At 43.9% G+C, this 24,226-nt stretch overlaps 1 long non-coding RNA gene across 2 annotated transcripts in view; it reads right to left on the bottom strand.

Annotated features, from left to right (window-relative positions):
- Nucleotides 1-4,100: 4,100 nt before the first annotated feature.
- LOC101928957 (uncharacterized) overlaps nucleotides 4,101-24,226 on the bottom strand; it is a 57,307-nt gene continuing 37,181 nt past the window's right edge. For both annotated transcript variants that reach the window (XR_007064306.1, XR_944152.4), the window contains 2 exons: nucleotides 10,248-10,378; nucleotides 4,101-5,230 (listed from right to left, as the gene is read on the bottom strand). This is a non-coding gene — a long non-coding RNA (uncharacterized LOC101928957). The remainder of the gene's footprint in view (nucleotides 5,231-10,247; nucleotides 10,379-24,226) is intronic.

Genomic DNA, 24,226 nt, shown 5'->3' on the forward strand with positions numbered 1-24,226 from the left:
GAATCCCTTGGGCAGTTACATTTCTATTTATTATAACTGCATGTTTGCATGTTTGTACCACCCCCCCCCACTTTTTTGTAGGCAGAGTCTCACTCTGTCACCCAGGATGGAGCGCAGTGGTGCGATTTCAGTCACTGCCTCAGCCTCCTGAGTAGCTGGGAGCACAGGTGCTCACCACCATGCCCAGCTAATACTTGTAATTTTTTTTAGACATGGGGTTTCACCATGTTGCCCAGACTGATCTCAAACTCTTGAACTCAAGCGATCTGCCCACCTTGGCCTCCCAAAGTGCTGGGATTACAGGCGTTAGTCACTGTGCCTGGCTGTTTGTACCCATTAATTAGCCATTGTTTGTCCTAACCCTCAACATCCTTCCCAGACTCTGGTAACTATCATTCTACTCTGTACCTCTATGAGATCAGCTTTTTTAGCTTCCACACCAGTGAGTGCATGTGATACTTGTCTTTTTGTGTCTGGCTTATTTCACTTAATATAATGACCTCCAGTTCCGTCCATGTGGCTGCAAATGACATGATTTCATTCTTTTTTATGGCTGAAAAATATTCCATTGTGTAAATATGCCACATTTTCCTTATCCATTCTTCTGATGATGGACACTGTTGTGAATAATGCTGCAATAAACATGGGGATGCATGTATCCCTTTGAAATTGTGATTTCCTTTCCTTTGGTTATATGCCCAGTAGTGGGATTGCGGTATCGTTTGGTAGTTCTATTTTTAGTTTTTTGAGAAATCTCCATACTGTTCTCCATAATGTCTGTACTAATTTACATTCCAACCGCAGTGTATGAGAGTTCCCTTTTCTCTGAATCCTTACCAGCATCTGTTATTTTTCTGAAATGATGATGATTTTTAAGGAAACTTCTAGCTTTCAGATTCTGTTAAGTGTGCAATGATGGTTGTAAGAACAATAGAAATCACTAAATTCTCCCCATAAAGGTGGATGTCGATATGACCACACATGAGCATTTTTATGACATTCATTAGAATCTTACTACAAAGCATCATGTTTTATATATGTATATATATATATATATATATATATATATATATGAAAATAATCACCAGAGAAAATACTCAACAAAATAGGTATTCCAACAATCATCTCATCCATTTTTATCCTATTTTCTTTTTTTCTTTGAGATGGAGTTTTACTCTTGTTGCCCAGGCTGGAGTGCAGTGGCCTGATCTTGGCTCAGTGCAACCTCTGCCTCCTGGGTGCAAGCGATTCTCCTGCCTCAGCCTCCCAAGTTGCTGGGATTACAGGTGCCTGCCACCACGTCCAGCTAATTTTTTGTATTTTTAGGAGAGATGGGATTTCACCATGTTGGCCAGGCTGGTCTCGAATTCCTGACCTCAGGTAATCCACCCGCCTCAGCCTCCCAAAGTGCTGGGATTACAGGCGTGAGCCACTGTGCCCGGCCTTTTGTCCTATTTTCATAAGTTATGTACATACTTAATTTGCAATGTAATATTTGTGATAAAATTATTACAGAAAAATTATTCATGATGCTATTAAAGATTATAAGGCAGACTTTATTCAAAGGGAGCCATGGTGATAGGTATAGGGACCATTGCAATGGGGTCTCACAGTCGGGGAGAGAGATTGGACTCAACTCTGTCTCCAACAAGGATGAGTGAGGATTTATCACCAAGGAGCAAGTTGGGAGTGGGTGGAAAATTGCTAAGAAGAAACATGAAGGATAAGAGGTTTCTGGCTAAACCAACTTGATAGGATTATTGCTAAAGGCAGATCAGCGTGATAAGATGTGGAGGCTGGACAGATATAAGTGTGGAAGACTTTTCACTAAACCAATTTGTCAGGATTCTTGCTCAAACTGGATTTAATAAGGACAGAAAGAGAAGCCCAAGGTCGAGCCTAGTGCAGGGAGGACTCAGAGGAGCCTGACTGAGGTTTTGGTCAAAGGAGAGTCTTTGTCAAATGTTGAAGTTTCCCTTATCCTACCCTTAACATAATGACGTTGGGAACAAATCAGAAAAGAAACATAATTTTAGATAAAAGCTGGAGCAGCCACAAACTAACAGCTTAGAACTCACTACCATTCACAATTCATTCCTTTATATGTAAAAACAACCTCACAACGTGCTGACAAGCAAGTCTTCCTAGTTAACAATAATCAAAACAAATGGGAAATATATTTGTAAAGAACAAAGCGAATCAAAGAAATTCCTTAAATCTGTCATTCAGCTAGCATGCTTGGGAATTATTCAAAATACTGCTAGGCTTGGTACAATGGTTCATGCCTATAATCCCAGCACTTTGGGAGGCCAAGGCAGGGGGATCACTGCTTGAGCCCAGGAGTTTGAGAGCAGTCTGGGCAACGAAGTAAGACTCTGTCTCTATTAAAGTAATAATAATAATAAATATATAAAATGCTTCTGGGGGGCTGGGCGTGGTGGCTCATGCCTATAATCCCAGCACTTTGGGAGGCCAAGGTGGGTGGATCACTTGAGGTTAGGAGTTTGAGACCAGCCTAGCCAACACAGTGAAACCCCATCTCTACTAAAAATACAAAAATTAGCTGGGCATGGTGGCATGCGCCTGTAACCCCAGCTACTTGGGAAGCTGAGGCAGGAGAATCGCTTGAACCCAAGAGGCAGAGTTTGCAGTGAGCCGGGAACAGGCCATTGTACTCTCGCGCTCCAGCCTGGGTGACAGAGCAAGACTCCATCTCAAAAACATTTTTTTTTTTTTTTTGTAGAGATGGGGTCTCACTTTGTCGCCCAGGCTGGTCTTGAACTCCTGGACTTAAGCGATCCTCTTCCCTTATCTTCCCAAAGTGTTAGGATTACAGGCATGAACCACTGTGCCTGGCCTAAAATGGCAAATTTTATGATAAGTATATTTTGCCATGATAAAAGAAACCTACACTTTAGAAGCTGAATTCTGGTGGTGATATTGAAGACAGATTGAAGAAGGTCAAGACCGGAGTCCGGGAGGCCTGCTTGGACATGATGTCTTAGCTAGCAAGAGATTCTCAGGAGGGCCTGCACCAGCACCAGGGCAGAGTTTTGGAAACAGAAGGGTGATGACAGAGCTATTTTAGATATACAGTCAAGAAGAATAAGACACTCACTGACCATTGAGGTGGGGAGGAGTCATGGATTTCTAATATTTCCAAGTCACATGACAGAAAGAATATGGGAAAGGGAACACAAAAGAAAATTTGATAGAAATAAGTATAATTTACAAAATGAAAAATACAAAAGCAGTTTTAATTAAAGGATTGTGAAGCAATCATTGCCTCTTTATCTAGGTGCAGTGCAGTCAACTCTGTTCTGTATTATTTGCAGGACCAAAGTTCATTAGTGGGGCTAAGAGCAAAGTTCCAGATTCAGATTGTACTTTGCCATGCTTTATTCTTTTTTTTTGGAGACAGGGTCTTGCTCTTTCTCCCAGGCTGTAGTGCAGTGGTGCAATCTCAGCTCATTGCAACCTCCGCCTCCCTGGTTCAAGCAATTCTTGTGCCTCAGCCTCCCGAGTAGCTGCGATTACAGGTACCCACCACCATGCCTGTCAAATTTTTGTATTTTGAGTAGAGATGGGGTTTCATCATGTTGCCCAGGCTGGCCTCGAACTCCTGACCTCAGGTGATCCACCCGCCTCGGCGTCCCAAACGGGAGTATAGGCCTGAGCCACCACGCCTGGCCGTAGTCTTTCTATCCCTAAATTTTCTTGACATCAAGGTACAAGAGATAAGTCTATCAGATGAGGTTAAAGTCTGTTTTAAGTTATGAAATGTATTATACATACACAAAAATATATAAACATATTGTACAATTTATTGAATAAGATGAACTGTGAATTGCCATCTAAAGTACATCTTTCTTGTTTTGTTTGTTTTTTGTTTGCTTGAGACAGAGTCTCATTCTGTCGCCCAGGCTGTAGTACAGTGGCGCAATCTTGGCTCACTGCAACCTCTGCCTTCCAGGTTCAAGCAATTCTTATGCCTCAGCCTTCTGAGTAGCTGGGGTTACAGGTGTGCACCACTGTGCCAGGCTAATTTTTTATTTTTTGTAGAGAGGGGGCTTTACCATATTGGCCAGTCTGGTCTCAAGCTCCTGGCCTGCCCCCCTTGGCTTCCCAAGTGCCAAGATTACAGGTATGAGCCCCCATGCCCAGCCTCAGATAGATCTTTACCATTATCTTAGAAGTACTCCGTGACACCTTTCCTTTCCATCCTCCATCAGGAGAATCACTTGTTCCTTTGTTTTTCTTTTTAGTGTTAACTCCAACATACTAATTTCTGGTGACAGAAGTCCTCATCTGCACATATCTTCTCAATTAAACTGGCGATGAGCCCTTCCGGTACAAAAACGAAGTGGACCAGGCCTCCGGCCATGGAGCCTCTCCTAGCTCTTCATCCCACTCGAACACTTTCCCCTCTCCCAACTGTCCCAGTTGTAACTCAAAGGGTGGCATATCAAGGTCTTTAAATATATATATGAATTTCTAAACGATATGCTATTAATGTGTAAAGAACTGAAAAACAAGCACAAAATTAGCTGTGTAAAAAAAAAGACTACTGCCACTGTTAGAAAAAGACTCAGTCATTGCTATAGACTGAATGTTTTTGTGCCCCAAATTTCATATGTTGCAACCCTGACTCCAAAGCTGCTGGTATTTGGAGATGGGGCCTTGGGAGATCATTAGGTCATAAGGGTGGGGCCCTTGTGATGGGATGAGTGATCTTATAAGAAATGTGAGGGTTTTTCCTCTCTCTGTTCTCTGCCATGTGAGGATACAATGAGAAGACCATGCACAAACCAGGAAGTAGCCCTCACCAGACACCAGATCTGCTGTTTGCTCTTGGACTTTCCAGCCTCCAGAACTGTGAGCCACTCAGTACATGGAGTTTTGTGACAGCAGCTTGAGCACACTAAGACAGTCATAGTCTGGGTAACTGCCTGGATTCAGCTTTCCTCAGAGCTCATAAATGCCCCTTCTGGAGAATTCAGTGGGCAAAGCTGTGAGTGAGTCCTGGGAAACAAAGACTTCCCCTTCTGGAGCATCTGTAGGTTCCCCTTCTGAAGCATCTTCAGGTTCCCCTTCTGGAGCATCTGCAGGTTCCCCTTCTGGAGCAACTGCAGGTTCCCCTTCTGAAGCATCTGCAGGTTCCCATTCTGGAGCATCTGCAGGTTCCCCTTCTGGAGCATCTGCAGGTTCCCCTTCTGGAGCATCTGCAGGGCTGAGCATGGGGAAGGGATTGGTCAGAGGAGTGACCACTTTCTATTTTCTACTTTCAGGAGATGTTCTCAACTCTTCTTTCCAACTCAACTATTAATGTCTTTTTCTTTTTTTTTAGAAACAGAGTCTCACTCTGTTGCCTAGGCTAGGGTTTAGTAGCATGATCATAACTCACTGTAACCTTGAACTCCTGGGCTCCAGTGATCCTCCTGCCTCAGCCTCCAGAGTAGCTAGGACCACAGGCCTGTACCACCACACCTGGCTAATTTTATTTTTTTTTAATTTTTGTAGAAATGAGGTCTTGCTATGTTGCCCAGGCTGGACTCAAACACCTGGTCTCAAGTGATCCTCCCACCTTGGCTTCCCACCTTGTATAGAACCACTACACCAAACTGAATTTTTCATTTTTTAAATTATACTTTTATTTTCCAAGATCCCTCTTTTGTTCTCTGAATCAATCTTTCTTTCTTTCTTTCTCTTTCTTTAGTTTCTTCCTCTTTCTTTCCCTTTCTTCTTCCTTCCTTCCTTTCGTCTTTCTTGTCTTTCTGTCTTTCTTTCTCTTTCTTTTTTTTGAGACAGAGTTTCACTCTGTCGGCCAGGCTGGAGTGCAGTGGCACAATCTTGGCTCACTACAACCTCTGCCACCCGAGTTCAAGCGCTTCTCCTGCCTCAGCCTCCCGAGTAGCTGGGATTACAGGTGCCTGCCATTGCATCCGACTAATTTTTGTATTTGTAGTAAAGACAGGGTTTCACCATCTTGGCCAGGCTGGTTTTGAACTCCTGACCTTGTGATCCACCTGCCTCAGCCTCCCAAAGTGCTGGGATTACAGGCGTAAGCCACCGCGTCCAGCCTGTTTCTTTCTTAAAGTATTTCATTTTTGTTTTATGGATATCACATCTTCTGTCTCTGAGGATATTGGCAGGTTTTTATAAATTTTTTTTTTTTTTTGAGACATGATCTGGCTCTGTTGCCCAGGCTGGAGTGTAGTGGTTTGATCATAGTTCACTGCAGTCTCAAACTCCTGGGCTTAAGTGATCCTTCTACCTCAACCTTCTGAGTAGCTAGGACTACAGGCATGCACCACCACACCTTGCTAATTTTTATTTTATTTTTTTTGTAGAGACAGGGTCTCACTTTTTTGCCTAGGCTGTTCTCAAACTCCTGGTCTCAAGCAATTCTCCCACCTTGTCCTGCCAAAGTGCTCGAATTGCAGGTGTGAGCCACTATACCCAACCAAGTTTTTCATTTTTTAAATTATGCCTTTTAATTTCTAAGGTCTCTCTTCTGTTCTGTGAACATTTCTTTCTTAAAGCATTCCATTTTTGTTTTATGAGTACCACATCATCTGTCCCTGAGGATACTGATTTCTTTTTTAGAAATTTTCTTTTTTCTTTTTTTTTTTTTTTTGAGACAGGGTCCTGCTCTGTTGCCCAGGCTGGAGTGTAGTGGCACAATCATAGCTCACTGCAGCCTTGACCTATGGGCTCAAGTGATCCTCTTACCTCAGCCTCCTGAGTAGCTAGGACTACAGGTGTGTACCACCACACCCTGCTAATTTTAAAATTTTTTTTTTTTTTTTGAGACAGAGTCTCGCTCTTGTTGTCTAGGCTGGACTGCAATGGTGTGATCTCGGGTCACTGCAACCTCTGCCTCTGGGGTTCAAGTGATTCTCCTGCCTCAGCCTCCCGGGTAGCTGGGATTACAGGCACCTGCCACCACGCTCGGCTAATTTTGTATTTTTAGTAGAGACGGGGTTTCTCCGTGTTGGTCAGGCTGGTCTCGAACTCCTGACCTCAGGTGATCCACCTGCCTTGGCCTCCCAAAGTGCTGGGATTACAGGCATGAGCCCCCACACCCAGCCAATTTAAAAATTTTTTTTTATAGAGACAAGGTCTTGCTTTGTTGTCCAGGCTGGTCTTGAACTCCTGGTCTCCAGCACTTCTCCTGTCTTGGCCTCCCAAAGTGCTGGGATTACAGGTGGGAGCCACTACACTCAGCCAGAAGTTTTTCCTAAGAATAGTCTCTGTTTCCTCCAAGTTACTTTTCTACTTGTTTGTTGTTTGGCATCTGTCTTTCATGTTATGGACTTTTCTCAAATATCTGATGATCCTTGGCTGCCTACTCATGTTTAAGAACAGGGCACTTAGAAGCCATTTGGAAGCTATGTGAATAAGTTAGATTTATCAACTGTGGATGCATTGATCTGGCTGGACCATTTTCCTGGGAAACCCAATGATTTAACATCTTTAAAACATTTTCCTCTATGATCAAATTCTGCAGAGAAGAGTATGCCAACTGCCTGCATAGGAGGGGCAAAAGGCTTCTCATCAGCCCCAAGATTTAATGGGAAAACTTTCACTTAATTACCTTTTAAAAAATTGGTCCTTCTTCATACTCTCAGGCTCACCTTACTCTTATTCTAGGCACCACTGCAGTGACCAGTGCTGTATGGGCACTCATCAGATTCACACAGACGCACCTTGACAGCCTCACCACAGTCCTGTGTCACATGCTTCTCACCTCCCTCCCCAGGGCTCCTCTAATGCTGTAGGGGGCGATGCTGTGAGAACCTGCTCTTTGTCCATGAAAGCATAACCCATAAGTGCAGGAGAATTAACACTCCATCAGGTCAACTTTGGATTTAGGAACATTTGAACTAATGGACAGATGCTATCCCTTTCTCTCCACCAGACCAATGCTTCCGAGGGCTCAAGCAATCATCTACCCATGGCAGTGACTGTCTTTGCTAACACCTCCCTCAACTGGCTCCTCCTCCTGGTCTGCATTGTATTCGTCTTTTTTTTTTTTTTTTTTTGAGATGGAGCCTCACTCTGTCACCCAGGGTTGGAGTGCAATGGTGTGATCTTAGTTGACTGCAACCTCCATCTCCCGGGTTCAAGCAATTCTCATGTCTCAGCCTCCCGAGTAGCTGGGATTACAGGCCTGCACCACCACACCCGGCTAATTTTTGTATTTTTAGTGGAGATGGGGTTTCACCATGTTGGCCAGGCTAATCTCGAACTTCTGACCTCAGGTGATCCACCCATCTCAGCCTCCCAAAGTGTTGGGATTACAGGCGTGAGCCACCACACCCAGCTCTTCCTTGCTTTTCTCCATAGGATCACACTCCCCAACAGAAAACTCATTCTCAAGACTTTGTCTCAGCCTCTGCTTTCTGGGATCCCTCAGGTAAGACACCCTAACGTCAGCCATACTTGATGTCCTCCAGCCTATGGCTTCCATGTGTGTGCTTCTCAAGCAAACTCATCCAAATGGACTGCATCCAGGTGAAACAGGCCTTCAGGATCACATCTGAGGCTGAGCCTTACACTAGGAACAGGCCTGTCTGCCAGAACCTCACTCAAATCTTAATGCTCAATAGAGGTTCTGGAAGACACGGACTGTCTCTTGTTCACTGTTGGATGCGTAATGCCTCCTGATTCATTCAGATATCAGCTGAATGAATGAGTGAATCCATTTGCTAGGGAAAATGCTAGAAATGACCAAATGCTAATAATGACCAAACGCATTAGTCATTGTTCCTCCCCTAGTTTATCTTGAGAGTCTGAATATTTCTGCCCAGGTCAATACTCTACTTGTGCCATTATTTTCCTCATGGTAGATCAAAAAGGGCTACTGTGTTAGGCCGTTCTTGCATTGCTGTAAAGGAATACCTGAGACTGGGTAATTTATAAAGAAAAGAGGTTTAATTGGCTCACAGCTCTGCAGGCTGTACAAGCATGGCGCTGGCATTTCTGCTTGACTTCTGGGGAGGCCTCAGGAAGCTTTTACTCATGGTAGATTTTACTCGTGGCAAAAGATGAAGTGGGAAAAGACACATCACATGGCAAGAGCCAGAGCAAGAGAGAGGGTTGGGGAGGTGCCACACACTTTTTTTTTTTTTTCCAGGCAGGTTCTCACTCTGTCTTCCAGGCTGGAGTGCAGTGGTGAAATCTCAGCTCACTGCAACCTCCACCTCCTGGGTTCAAGCGATCCTCCAGCCTCAGCCTCCTGAGTAGCTGGGATTATAGGTGCGCAGTACCATGCCCAGCTAATTTTTGTATTTTTTGTAGAGATGGGGTTTCACCATGTTGCCCAGGTTGGTCTCAAACTCCTGAGCTCAAAGCGATCTGCCTGCCTTGGCCTCCCAAAGTGCTGGGATTACAGGTGTGAGCCATCACGCTTGGCTGCCACACAGTTTTAAACAATCAGATCTCATGTGAACTGAGTGAGCACTCAGTCATCACCAAGGGAATGGTGCTGAGCCATTCATGAGGGATTCATCCCCATGATCCAAACACCTCCCACGAGACCCCATCTCTAACACTGGGGATTATATTTCAACAAGAGATTTGGATGGAGCATCCAAACTATATCGCATAGCTCCCCCATGTCTGCTTGGATTTCTGGGGGCCAAAAAGAAGCCTATACTTTTTTCTTTTTTAGCCATGTTGTCCTATGTGTACTAATAGCTGGGAAAACTAAATGCCATTTGGTCTGTACCAAATTCCCATCAATACCAGGAGAGACTATAAAACTGACAGATTGGGAACAAGAGGTTTCACAGCATGGATCTGGGATCCTGTAACACACCTGGGATCATCTCATCATGATTAGATGATTAGCTCTCATCATGATTTTTTAACTTCCCACACTACACCAACCTAAAGGGCTACCTTCTTTAAGACATGTTGGGGTAAGAGCTGGAACACTTAATATGTTGCAGTGGGCTCTAGGTGAGAAATGATCAGGCTGAAAGCCTGTTTAGTTTTCCTTTCTCTGGGTTGCCTGGGCTCTTTCCCTGGGCCTCATCTCCTCGGCTTCTTCTCTTGACTATGACTTTTTGCACTCTCTTGCTCAGCTCTGGTGTTTCTTCATGGCCTCCCAAGATCAGTCTTGGCTGAGAATCTGCCTCTTGGACCATGAATTCTCTCCTTTCCCATGCTAACCGTGTAAGCCTCTGCTCTCAGCTTTAATCGGTCAGGCCTAGCATAGGGCCTGGGAAAATAATGCTGACCTTTAACTGCTGCTCAGAGAAAGCACAGTGTTCCCATTTCAGTGGTTGAAGGAGGGTCCTGTTTTCATTCTTTATCATCATCTCTCCCTTCATATTTTTCTTTGATCCAACTTCAAATAGAAATTTTCAACCTGAGAAAGTTGATTGGAAAAGAAAAAGAAATAATATTATAAGCCCAAGTTAAACTAAACTAAACAAAAATTTCAAGGCCACCCATGTTAGGAAAAAAAAATGATACCACTGATTTTTCGTACAACAAAATACATGTGCAGTCCCTGTAAGACTGTGTGGTAAGATCCGATCTATACTTGACAAATCAAATCTTGGAACCAGAGTCAGACATTTAAGATCTAGACTGTGCTCAAAAATCCATTTCAGACCAGGTGTGGTGGCTCATGCCTGTAATCCCAGCACTTTGTGAGGGTGAGGTGGGAGAATCACTTGAGGTCTCGAGTTTGAGGTGAGCCTGGACAACAGAAGGAGACCCCATCTCTACAAAAAATAAAAATAAAAATAAAAAAATTAGTTGAGCATAATAGCACAAGCCTGTAGTCCCAGCTACTCAGGAGACTAAGTCAGGTGGATTGCTTGAGCCCAGGAATTTGAGGCTGCAGTGAGCTATGATCATGTCACTGCACTCTGGCCTGGGTGACAGACAAAGACCATGTCTCAAAAAATAAAAAATAAATACATTTCATATAGTCATTGTAGCTGTTAAGAAAAGAGTTTTATAATACGTAAGGAGCATATCAGCAGAAGTTTTTAAGAAAACACATAGCATTTAGATCTCATCCATTCCATCCATGGAAAATGTACCACTACTGCCATTACTTTGAGATTGGAATCAATTGCCCAAGCAAAGATACATTCTAGTTACTATTACTCTGTAACAAAGTCTCTCTAAACTTCGTGGTTTAAAGTAGGCATTTTATTTTGCTCCCAATTTTGTGAGTCAGGTATTGGGGAAGGGTTTTGCTGGGCAGTTCTCATTTGAGGCCTCTCATGTAGTTGCAGTCAGATGTCAGCTGTGCTGCTGTCATCCGAACGCTCAACTGGGCTGTGAATGTCTACGATGAAACACTGACATGGCTTGCAGGGAATACTGGCTGTTGGCTGGGAGCTCAGCCAGGCCTGTCTGCCAGAACAGGTATGCATGGCCTTTTTGAGAGGGGAGTTAGACTTCTACATGGTGGCTGCTTTCCCTACAGAAAGCATTCCAAGAGAACCAGGCAGAAGTTGCATGGTCTTTTCTGACCTAGCCTCCAATGTCACACAGCATCATTTATGCTTTATTTTATTGGGTACAAACAAGTCACCAAAGCCAGCCCAGATTTAACAGGAGGGAATAGAGACTTCACTTCTGATGGGACAAATGTGAAAGAACTTGATAACAAGTTTAAAAATCACCTTAGATGATGTTAACCCATAGAGTTATAAGGAAAGAGATTGCATTTACAGCCAATAATACAAAATAAATTTCAGAGAGGTTGAGGTAGGGTGTAGATTAAAAGAATCAGTTCATCTCAATTCCTTATTAATTTTTTTTTAAATGTAGACACGTGGTCTTGCTCTGTTGCCCAGGCTGGAGTGCAGTGGCATGATCATAGCTCAGGAGTCTTGAACTCCTGGGCTAAAGTGACCCTCTTGCCTCAGCCTCTCAGCTCAGCCTTCTGAGCAACGGGTACCACAGGCATGCACCACTACACCCGGCTAATTTGTGTGTGTGTGTGTGTGTGTGTGTGTGTGTGTGTGTGTGTGTAGAGACAGGGTTTCACCCTGTTGGCCAGGCTGGTCTTGAACTCCTGGATTCAAGCAATCCTCCCACCTCAGCCTCCCAAAGTGTTGGGATTACAGGTGTGAGCCACCATGCGCAGCCCCTTATCTCACTTCCTAACAGACCCCAGAAAGACACTCGTCTGGTTTGGAGGATAACTGGGATCCCCACACAATGTTCTGCTTTCTTCTCTCTGATGCAGACATATTTGCCCACATTGTGAGTGGCAGTCGGGGGTCATGGTTATATGCAGCCCTATACCTCATCCTTCTAAATTTGATGTTCAGGAGTTAAAAGCATTTCTCACCCCGTGACAATCTGAAAAATCCAGGCAGTGTATTTGAGTGGCCTGGCTTTTCTCTAAGTATTACCCTAACCACTGTGGCTGGGGGTAAGGTATAGAATGTTTGCATCATTTAAGGATAAGCATATTCTTCTCAAACACAGAGTTAGAAAGATTATTTGAAATGACAAAAATTAAGTCACAATCATACATTTGATTTGATTTTTTTTTTTTTTTTTTGAGACGGAGTGGAGTCTCGCTCGCTCTGTCACCCAGGCTGGAGTGCAGTGGTGCGATCTCGGCTCACTGCAAGCTCCGCCTCCCGGGTTCACACCATTCTCCTGCCTCAGCCTCCTGAGTAGCTGGGACTAGAGGTGCCCGCCACCACACCGGGATAATTTTTTGTATTTTTTAGTAGAGACGGCATTTCACCATGTTAGCCAGGATGGTCTCAATCTCCTGACCTTGCGATCCGCCCACCTCGGCCTCCCAAAGTGCTGGGATTACAGGCATGAGCCACCGCACCTGGACCATTTGATTTGATTTTAAAATAGCTAAATAAAAATTTTTAATATTTACATATTAACACCATCATCCTTGGCTTCCTATTCTACCTGTATTGGTTTTCAAAAGGTGGAAAAAGAAATTGAGAGTAATGAATGCATGAATGTGTTTGTACATTCAGAAAATACTTATAAGTTATTTCCTTTTTGCCAAAAGATAGATAGTCTGAAAAGATGATCTATCACAAAGAACACCCTGAAAATAAGAAGCCCTTTGTGATCTGGACATCAAAGATATTAATCTGGGTACATTTCAGGACTGGGGGGTCTGTAGGGTGCACACATAAAAGAAAATGCAGATTTAACATGACCTAAAAGGGATCTGTTCTACTCAGATGAGAGCAGGGAAGATGCACACGAGCTTTTACTCCTGACAGCCTTCTCAAAACTTAGGCAGATATGAATTTTATTTTATTATTATTTTTTGAGACAGAGTCTCACTCTGTTGCCCAGGCTGGAGTGCAGTGGTGTGCTCTCGGCTCACTGCAACCTCTGCCTCTCGGGTTCAAGCGATTCTTCTGCCTCAGCCTCCCAAGTAGCTGGGATTACAGGTGCACGTAATCACACCTGGCTAATTTTTGTATTTTTAGTAGAGACAGGGTTTCACCATGTTGGCCAGGCAGTCTGGTCTCGAACTCCTGACCTCAGGGAATCCGCCTGCCTCGGCTTCCCAAAGTGCTGGGATTACAGGTGTGAGCCATCACGCCTGGCCTTTATTTTAAAAGAGAAATCTCTATTTGTATTGCAAATTTTGATATTAGACACAACTCAGAATTCTTAAGAAAAAATCTAAGAAAGAACAAAGTCAAAGCTATGTTAGAAATGTTATTTTTCTCATTTTATAGAAGAGTTTCAGCAAACATCCAAATCAAAAGACACTGAGGGGCTGGATGTGGTGGCTCATGCCTATAATCCCAACACTTTGGGAGGCCAAGGTGGGACGATCACTTGAGCCCAGGAGTTTGAGACCAGACTAGGTAACGTAGAAATCATCTGTACAAAAAAAAATTTTTTTTAAAGACACCGAGAACATAAATGTCAACTCTCAGTGTCTAATTTGGCAGTCCCTCAGCATAGCTGTAAATGAATTTCAGTTTTCTCTTACTTATGGTTAATTTCTTATGAACTAAATCAATACTTATATATTTTATATTTAAAAGACTTACTGTGTCTAAGAGCTGAATTTAGCACTGTCTTGTTGGGTTGGACTGGGCCCTCCAAAATGCAGACATCAAGATGGAATTAAACATGCAAGGATTTTATTAAGGGAAATGCTTGTGTGAAAGGAAATAGGGAGAGAGCCAGGATGGCTGGGAGAGGCATCACTTGGTGATGCAAGTGTGAGCCTGAGTGAAGGAAAGAGAGAGAGAAGGCTGAGCACAGTCATCCTAGAGAGCATTGCAAGGAAGATTTGGCAAAGTTTTTTTTTTTTTTTTGAGATGGAGTCTCGCTCTGTCACCTATCAGGCATGATCTTGGCTCACTGCAACCTCCGCCTTCTGGGTTCAAGCAATTCTCCTGCCTCAGCCTCTCAGGTAGCTGGGATTACAGGCGCAAGACATCATGCCTGGCTAATTTTTGTATTTTTAGTAGAGACGGGGTTTAGCCATGTTGCCCAGGCTAGTCTTGAACTCCTGGCCTCAAGTGATGTGCCCACCTCGGCCTCCCAAGTGCTGGGATTACAGGTGTGAGCCACTGAGCTCGGCCTCGGCAAAGTTGATAAGGGAGTCCCTGAGCCAAAGTCAGCCTGCAAAGGAGGCCATGCCTCCCGGGAGTGTGTCTGCCTTGGTGTCCTGCTGCATCCAGTCCCTAGCGGGAGCAGCCTATGAGCAGAAGCACCATGCCCAAGCATACTGATGAATTTCAGAGCACAGCAGCTGGGGCCTTTGGTCAATTATGTTCCAAAAAAGAAGTCTATGAGGCATGTTCTCATGGCCACCACGTTTGCCATCACTGGAGTAGTATGCAGCACTACAGTTTTTCAGACACCAAGAAATAGGAAGCAGGAAGCAGGAAGGGGGTGTCCAGTTGCAAGCACTCAGCCCTGAGGGAAATGTAGAAGATCGAAAAGGCATGTGTATGCTGCAATTCCCTGTGGATAATGCCAGTGCCCAATCCATCCTTCTCTTCCCATCCTTTTCACATTGAATCTTGGGGCCCCTGAGGAGACTTCCCCTACCTAAGCAGGCAGCTGTCGGAACCTTCTCTGCAGAACTTTTTTTTTTTTTTTTTTTTTTTTTGAGAAAGAGCCTCACTCTGTGGCCTAGGCTGGAGTGCAGTGGTGGGATCTTGGCTCACTGCAACCTCCACCTCCCGGATTCAAGCAATTCTCACGTCTCAGCCTCCTGAGTAGCTGAAACTCCAGGTGCTCACCATCACAACTGGCTATTTTTTTTTTTTTTTTTTTTTTGGTATTTTTAGTAGAGCTAGGGGTTCGCCATGTTGGCCAGGCTAGTCTTGAACTCCTGACCTCAGGTGATCCACCTGCCTCGGCCTCCCAAATTGCTGGGATTACAGGTGTGAGCCATGGCACCCGACCCTCTGCAGAATCTGATCACAAAGGAAAAAAAGATTTAAAGACACTAAATCATTGAGTTTCTTAGCAAAATGGTCAAGGCAAATCAATATTCACACAGTTTCCAAATAGCTTTTCAGTGCCCCATTCCTAAACATGAGTAGACAGCTAAGGATCATCAGACATTTGAGAAGAGTCCACGGCATGGAAACAGATGGGAAACACCACATAAGCAGGAAACGGCAACCTAGAGGAAATGGAGACTATCCTTAGAAAAGAAAACTGCTACAAACCTATCAATGTTCTCTGAGACAGAAGATGTGGCACCCATGAAACCAAATGGAGGGTTTTATAAAGAAAGGAACATTCAGAGAACAAAAGAGAGGTCTTGGAAATTAGAAGTATAGTAACAAAAATGAAAAATTCAACAGATGGTACGAAACAGAAGCTGAGGATAGCTCCTGAAAGTAGAGCAAGAGGATGTATATAGGAGGAAAGTGATAAGAAAATCAGAGAAGCTTACAGGTAGAACAAAGCCAGAATATTAGGAGTTACAGGGAGAACAGAGACAATGGAAGGAAGACAATTATTAATCACATGATTCAAAAAGATTTCTCAGAATTGAGGGATGTGAACTTGTACACAGAAAGGTCCACCACAGTGTCCAGAGCCCATGACATGGATATAGAACAAAAACAAAGCCCACCAGGCCAGATGTGGTGGCTCATGCTTGTAATCCCAGCACTTTGGGAGGCCGAGGCGGGTGGATCACTTGAGGTCAGGAGTTTGAGACCAGCCTGGCCAACATGGTGAAACCTCGTCTCTACCAAAAACAGAAAAAAATTAGCGGGCACAGTGGCATATGCCTGTAGTCCCAGCTCCTCTGGAGGCTGAGGCAGGAGAATCACTTGAACTCAGGAGGCAGAGGTTGCACTGAGCCAAGATCGCGCCACTGCACTCCAGCCTGCATGACTGACTGGAGTGAGACTCCATCTCCAAAAAAAAAAAACAAACAATGAAACAAAACACGAAGCCCACCAGTATGAAATGTCATAACACTAGGGACAATGGAAAGATATTTAAATCTTTCCTTACAGAAGAATCAGACAAAATAATGGCACTGGGCTTCTCAATGGTAATACTGCAAGCTAAGGGACAAAGGAGCAATGCTTTTGAAATTTTGAGGAGAAGTGGTTTCAAGTAGAGAATTATATACGCAGCCAAACTATGAATCCAGTGGTAAGTAAATAAAGACATTTGCATACACGAACAATCTCAAAACACCGGCCACCCATCTATTTTTTCTTTGAAAGTTACTGGAGGACGTGTTCCACTAAAATAAGGTATTATATTAATAAAGTAGAATATATGAGAGCCGGGAAACAGAAGATCCATTAGAGGGAGACAAAATAGTGAACAGTGCATAGAGAACTAAGTGAAAACAAGGACATGTATTAACACCAAGAACAAGAAAATGTTATCAGGGAAGAAAAAGAAATGTGGCTGTACCGTGAATTTGGCTAACATTTCCATAATAACACCAACAGTGAATCTGACTCAACTATTCTATTTTTTGAGATGGAATCTCACTCTGTCACCCAGGCTGGAGTGCAGTGGCGTGATCTCGACTCACTGCAACCTCCACCTCCCGGGTTCAAACAATTCTCTTGCCTCAGTCTCCTGAGTAGCTGGTATTACAGGCAAGTGCCACCACGCCCGGCTAATTGTTTTTGCGTTTTTAGTAGAGACAGGGTTTCACTATGTTGCCCAGGCTGATCTCGAACTCCTGGGCTCAAGTGATCTGCCCGCCTCAGCCTCCCAAAGTGCTGGGATTACAGGGATAAGCCACCACGCCTGGCTTAAGCTATTTTATTTTACTTTATTTTAATTTTTAGAGACCAAGTCTTGCTCTGTCACCCAGGCTGGAGTACAGTGGCATGATCATAGCTCACTATAGTCTTGAACTCTTGGCTCAAACTATTGCATGAGATCCTCCCACCTCAAGCCTCCCACTGACTAAACTCTTCATAAAACTTTCATGTGGGAGGATGAGAAGAGTGAGTGTTTATGTATGGCGGTGATAGTAGGGCTTAGAAAAGACCTAAATCCTCGTCTTTCATAGTGGAATGTTAATAGATTATACTTTTTTTTTTTAAACTTTAAGTTCAGGGGACATGTGCAGATTTGTTACACAGGTAAAGCTGGGGGTTTATTGTACAGATTGTTTCATCACCCAGGTATTAAGCCTGGCACCCATTAGTTATCTTTCCTGATCCCCTCCCTCTTCCCATCCTCCATCCTCTGACAGGCCGTTTTTCCCCTCTAGGCGTTCACGTGTTCTCATCCTTTGGCTCCCACTTATAAGTGAGATCATGAGGTATTTGGTTTTCTGTTCCTGCTTTAGTTTGCTAAGGATAATGGCCTCCAGCTCCATCCATGTCGCTGCAAAAGACATGATCTCATTCATTTTTATGGCTGCATAGTATTCCATAGTGTATATGTACCACATTTTCTTTATCCAGTGTACCATTGATGGATATTTAGGTCGATTCCATGTCTTTGCTATTGTGAATAGTGCTGCAATGAACATACACATACCTGTGTCTTTATGATAGAACAATTTACTTATAACTTAAAAAAAAATGGCAGTATAAGTCCAGGCACCATGGCTCATGCCTGTAATCCCAGCACTTTGTGAAGCTGCGGTGGGTAGATCAATTGAGCCCAGGAGTTTGAGACCAGCCTAGGTAATGTGGCAAGACCCGGCTCTAAAAAAAAAAAAAAAAAAAAAAAATTAGCCAGGCATGGTGGCATGTGCCTGTAGTCCTAGCTACTTGGGAAGCCCAGGAGATTGAGGCTGCAGTGAGCCAAGATCGCACCACTTCACTCCAGCCTGGGCAAGAGAGTGAGACCCTGTCTCAAAAAAAAAAAAAAAAAAAAAAAAAAATAGCAGTGTAAGCAGGTTATTTAGAGATTCCGAGGCAAATGTCCAAATAAACAGTTAAAACAATTTTATGTGGTTGCCTCTGAAGAAAGGGAAATGGAAGAGGGATATGTACAGGGAACTGTTAGATTTTATAATAATTTAGGATTATTTGACTTTCTGAAGTATGTGCAGGGATACATTTAATGAAAACGATAGCAAAATGAGAAACTTAAAAACAGAAAGCTAGGACTAGTTCAGGTTGATGAATGATTTTTAAAAGCTTATAGACATCTGGAATTACCCATAAAGTTATTTACTAAATGTTTATTTGGTTGCTTGGTTATTCAATGGGCATTAGTGTAAGAAATCTTGCTTTCAAGTTTATTGACAGCATAAGTAAGTACTCAATCTTCACTTTTTAATATTTACTTAACAGTATTCAAAGCATATGGTGCAAGTTGCTCAACTTATGGATTCCAGCAGCTATTGTGCAACATATAACTACATCAATGGCAATGATATCTATTTGTTTAAAAACCCGTTGGGTAAGTACAAAAATTAGCTGGGCATAGTGGCATTCACCTGTAGTCCCAGCTACTCGGGAAGCCAAGGTGGGAGGATCACTTGAGCCCGGAAGGTTGAGGCTGCATTGAGCCAAGATCGCGCCACTGCACTCCAGCCTGGGTGACAGAGCAAGGTTCTGTCTTTTGTTTGTTTTTGTTTTAGTTTTTTGAGACGGAGGCTCACTCTGTTATCCAGGCTGGAGTGCAATGGCATGGTCTCAGCTCACTGCAACCTCTGCCTCCCGGGTTAAAGCAATCCTCCTGCCTCAGCCTCCTGAGTAGCTTGGACTACAGGCACGTGCCACCATGCCCAGCGAATTTTTGTATTTTTAGTAGAGATGGGGTTTCACTATGTTGGCCAGGCTGGTCTCAAACTCCTGACCTTGTGATCTTCCTCCCTCAGCCTCCCAAAGTGTTGGGATTACAGGCGTGAGCCACTGTGCCCGGCCAAGGCTCTGTCTTAATAAAACAAACAAACAAACAAACAACCCCCTACCCCACCACCAATAAAAACCACTGGGTAGATTTAAACTACTCTGCTAAAGATAAACTTTTCTCCTGAAAATTATAAAAGAATTCACTATCCTAAAAAAATGGCTACGATAAATGGGATAAAAAGATGTTTTAATCAGTGAGAATAGTGGAGCATATATTTAACCATCTGTATCATACCAACCATATTTTGATTATGGGTATAATTATCTAATTCCTTTTTGAGCTAGGAAGACTTTTGAAACATAGAGAGCAACGTAGTGGTTCTATCCATGAAATGAAAATGGGATTTTATGTAACGCATTTAATATTATTTGAGCTGAGACCTGGGATGTTTGATGAACTCTGTCAGAACATGTAATAATCTTGGAGGATAAGAATGGCATTTGGGGCCGGGCGCGGTGGCTCACGCCTGTAATCCCAGCACTTTGGGAGGCTGAGGCAGGCGGATCACCTGAGGTCAGGAGTTTGAGACCAGCCTGACCAACATGGTGAAACCCCGTCTCTACTAAAAATACCAAAAATTAGCTGGGCGTAGTGGCGCGTGCCTGTAATCCCAGCTACTCAGGAGGCTGAGACAGGAGAATCACTTGAACCCAGGAGTCAGAGGTTGCAGTGAGCTGAGACTGCGCCATTACCCTCCAGCCTGGGCAACAAGAGCGAAACTCTGTCAAAAAAAAAGAATGGCATTTGGCAAGATGAGACTTTGGTTCCTAACTGCTCTAGGACCTAGGCTGGCTTGAGGTTCAGAGTGCCGGTTACTCTCCATTTGACTGTCCCCATTTCCCCTGCAACATCCATTCTTTGCTCTTCTCTGCCCTACTCTGTGACCTGAAGTCTGATCCCCATGGAGTGTTTCATCCAGGCTCTCTTGCTCTCTGGCTTCTCACTTCTGGTTGAGCTCAGCCAGTAGGAGGAATGGCACAAGATGGGAGGGGAATATGGGCAGAGAAAGTAGTTGCAGTACAGTTGTTCTTGGTATCTGTGGGGGATTGGTTCCAGCACCCCCCAACCATGGATGCTCAAGTCCCTTATACAGTTAAGTCCTCCCCTAGCATCATCAATAGGTTCGTGGAAACTGTGACTTTAAGTGAAAAGATGAATAAAGGAACTCATTAACCATAGGCTAATTGATAGAAACAAGAGCTAAGTTCCTATGGCATATTTCTGCTTATAAAAATATCACCAAACTTCTAAATAAAGACCCAAAACCTTTCTAATATTAAACACTGAAATAGACCGGGCATAGTGGCTCATGCCTGTAATCCCAGCACTTTGGGAGGCCGAGGTTGGAGGATTACTTGAGGCCAGGAGTTCGAGACCAGCCTGGTCAACACAGTGAGACCTTGTCTCTACCAAATATTCAATAAATAAAATATTGAAATAAATGTGAGTGATACATACATTTAAGAAAGATTAATAAAATCAAGCAAGATAATTATTTACCCAATGATTCCATTTCAGGGTTGCAGGTGGCCAGAGCCTATCCTGGCAGCTCAGGGCACAGGTGGGAACTAACCCTAGGCAGGACAGAGTTCCATTGCAGGGCTCTCTCTGTCTGTCTCTCTCTCTCTCTCTCTCTCACACACACACACACACACACACACACACTCACTTACACTAGGACAATGTATTTATTTGTTGTAGAGATAGGGTCTTGCTCTGTTGCTCAGGCTGGAGTTCAGTGGTGCAATCATGGCTCACCGAATCCTCAAACTCCTGGGTTCAAGCAATCCTCCTACCTCAGTCTCCTGAGTAGCTGGGACTACAGGTGTGTGCCATCATGCCCTGTTCATTTTTAATTTTTTTGTAGAGATGGGGTCTCACTTTGTTGCCCAGACTGGTCTTGAACCCCTGGACTCAAGTGATCCTCCTGCCTGGACCTCCCAAAGTGCTGGGATTACAAGTGTGAGCCACTGCACCTGGCAACACTGGGACAATTTGGACACACCAATTCCCCTAATGTGCACAGCTTTGGAATGTGGGAGAAAACTGGAGTCCCTGAGAAAACCCACGCAGATGTAGGGAGAATGTGCTGACACCACACAGACTGCAGCTCTGGCCAGGAATCGATTTTTTCTCATCAATATTATAACAAAATGATGTCGAATGAAATGATGTTCTTCAAGGATCTGCTGTATAAAATCATTAGTATTTGCATATTACCTACACATATCTGCCCATATACTTTAAGTCATCTCTAAATTACTTGTAATTCCTAATACTACATAACTGCTATGTAAATAGTTATACTGTATTGTTTAGGGAATAATGACAGGAAAAAAAGTCTACATGTTTAGTAAAGATGCAGCCATCCATTTTTTTCTTCATCTTTTAAAAAATATCTTCAATCTGTGGTTAGTTGAATCCATGGATGCATACCCCATAAATATGGAGGGTTGACTGTATTTTTTGTCTCTCTTTGCTTCCAGGCCTCAGTGCTGTCAGGGACTGTCTTCCAGGACAAGTGCTTTGATACAGCTGATCTACAGGGTTCCCTAGTTGTATTTATCTGTTCTCACATTGCTATAAAAGAATACCTGGGACTGGGTAATTTATAAAGAAAAGAGGTTTAATTGGCTCAGAGTTCCACAGGCTATACAGGAAGCATGATGCTGGCATCTGCTTGGCTTCTGGGCAGGCCTTGAGAAATTTACAATCATGGCAGAAGTAAAGGAGGAGCAGGCACATCTTACCTGGCAGAGCAGTAGCAAGACAGAGCGAGAGAGGAGGTGCCATAAAACCAGATCTTGGGAGAACTCACTATTGAGAGAACAGCACCAAGAGGATGGCGCTAAACCATCATGAAGAACCAGCTCCCATGATCAAATTGCCTCCTACCAGGCCCCACTTCCAACATTGGGGATTACAACTGGACATGGGATTTGGGTGGGGACACAGATCTAAACCATACCATTCTGCCCTCAGCCCTTCCCAAATCTCATGTCCTTCTCACATTGCAAAATACAATCATCCCTTCTCAACAGTCCCCCAGTCTTAACTCATTTCAGCATTAGCTCAAAAGTCCAAAGTCCAAAGTCTCATCTGAGACAAGGCTAGTCCCACTTATGAGCCTGTAAAATAAAAAAACAAGTTAGTTACTCTTAAGATACAATGGGGGTATTGGCATTGGGTAAATACTCCCATTCCAAAAGGAAGAAATTAGCCAAAAGAAAGAGGCTACAGACCCCACACAAGTTTGAAACCCAGAAGGGCAGTCATTACATCTTAAAGCTCCCAAATAATCTCCTTTGACTCCATGTCCCACATCCAGGCCACACTGATGCCTTTCTGCCTGTGTGACTTTGCAGTGTTCAGCCCCCAGTGACTGCTCTCACAGACTGGTGTTGAATGTCTGCAGCTTTTCCAGGCACACGGTGCGAACTGTTGGTGGATCTACTATTCTGGGGTCTGGAGGAGGGTGGCCCACTTCTCACAGCTCCACTAGGCAGTGCCCCAGTGAGGACTCTGTGTGGGAGCTCCAACCCCACATTTCACCTCTACACTGCCCTAGTAGAGGCTCCCCGTGAGGGCTCTGTCCCTGAAGCAGGCTTCTGCCTGGACATCTTGGCTTTTCCATACATCCTCTGAAATCTAGGCAGAGACTCCCAAGCCTCAACTCTTTCACTCTGTGCACCTGCAGGCCTAACACCATGTGGAAGCCACCAAGGCTTATGGCTTGCACCATCTGAAGCAGAGGCCTGAGTTCTGGGCCCCTTTGAGCCATGGCTGGAGCTGGAGTGGCCAGGATGCAGGGAGCAGTGTTCAGAGGCTGTGCAGGGCAGTGGAGCCCTGGGCCTGTCCCACAAAACCATTCTTCCCTTCTAGGACTCTGGGCCTATAATAGGAGGGGCTGCTGTGAAGGTCTCTGAAATGCCTTCAAGGGCTTCTCCCCATTGTCTTGTCTATTAGCACTTGGCTCCTTTTTACTTATGCACACTTCTTCAGCCTGCTTGAATTTTTCCCTGGAAAAATGGGCCTTCTTTTCTACCACATGAGCAGGCTGCAAATGGTTCCAAACATTTACGCTTTGCTTCCCTTTTAAATACAAGTTCCAACTATAGGCCATTTCTTTGTTCATGTATATGTGATAGGTTGTTAGAAGCAGCCAGGCCACATCTTGAACATTTTGCTGCTTAGAAATTTCTTCTGCCAGATACCCTAAATCATCACTCTCATGTTCAAAGTTCCACAGATCCCTAGGGCAGGAGCACAAGGCAGCCAAGTTCTTTGCTAAGGCATAGCAAAAGTGATCTTTGCTCCAATTCCCAATAAGTTCCTCATTTCCATCTGAGATCTCCTCAGCCTGGACTTCACTGTCCATATCACTATCAGTATTTTGGTCACAACCATTTAACCAGTCTGTAGGAAGTTCCACACTTTCTCTCATCTTCCTATCTTCTTCTGAGCCCTCCAAACTATTCCAGTCTCTGCCCATTACCCAGTTCCCCAGTCACTTTCACATTTTTAGGTATCAGTATAGCAATGCCCCACTCCCAGTACCAATTTTCTGTATTAGGCTGTTCTCACATTGCCATAAATAAATACCTCAGGCAGGGCACTGTGGTTCATGCCTGTAATCCCAGCACTTTGGGAGGCTGAGGCGGGCAGATCATTTGAGGTCAGGAATTTGAGATCAGCTTGGCCAACATGGTGAAGACCTGTCTCTACTAAAAATACAAAAATAAAAATTAGCTGGGTGTGGGTAAATGCATCTGTAATTCAAGCTACTCAGGAGGCTGAGGCACAAGAGTCACTGAACCCAGGAGGCGGAGGTTGCAGTGAGCAACATTGCACCACTGCACTCCAGTCTGGGTGACAGAATGAGACTCTTGTCTCCAAAAAAAAAAAAAAAAAAAAGAAA

The sequence above is a fragment of the Homo sapiens genome, chromosome 14 (genome assembly GCF_000001405.40).
Source record: "Homo sapiens chromosome 14, GRCh38.p14 Primary Assembly".
NCBI classification, from domain to species: domain Eukaryota; kingdom Metazoa; phylum Chordata; class Mammalia; order Primates; family Hominidae; genus Homo; species Homo sapiens.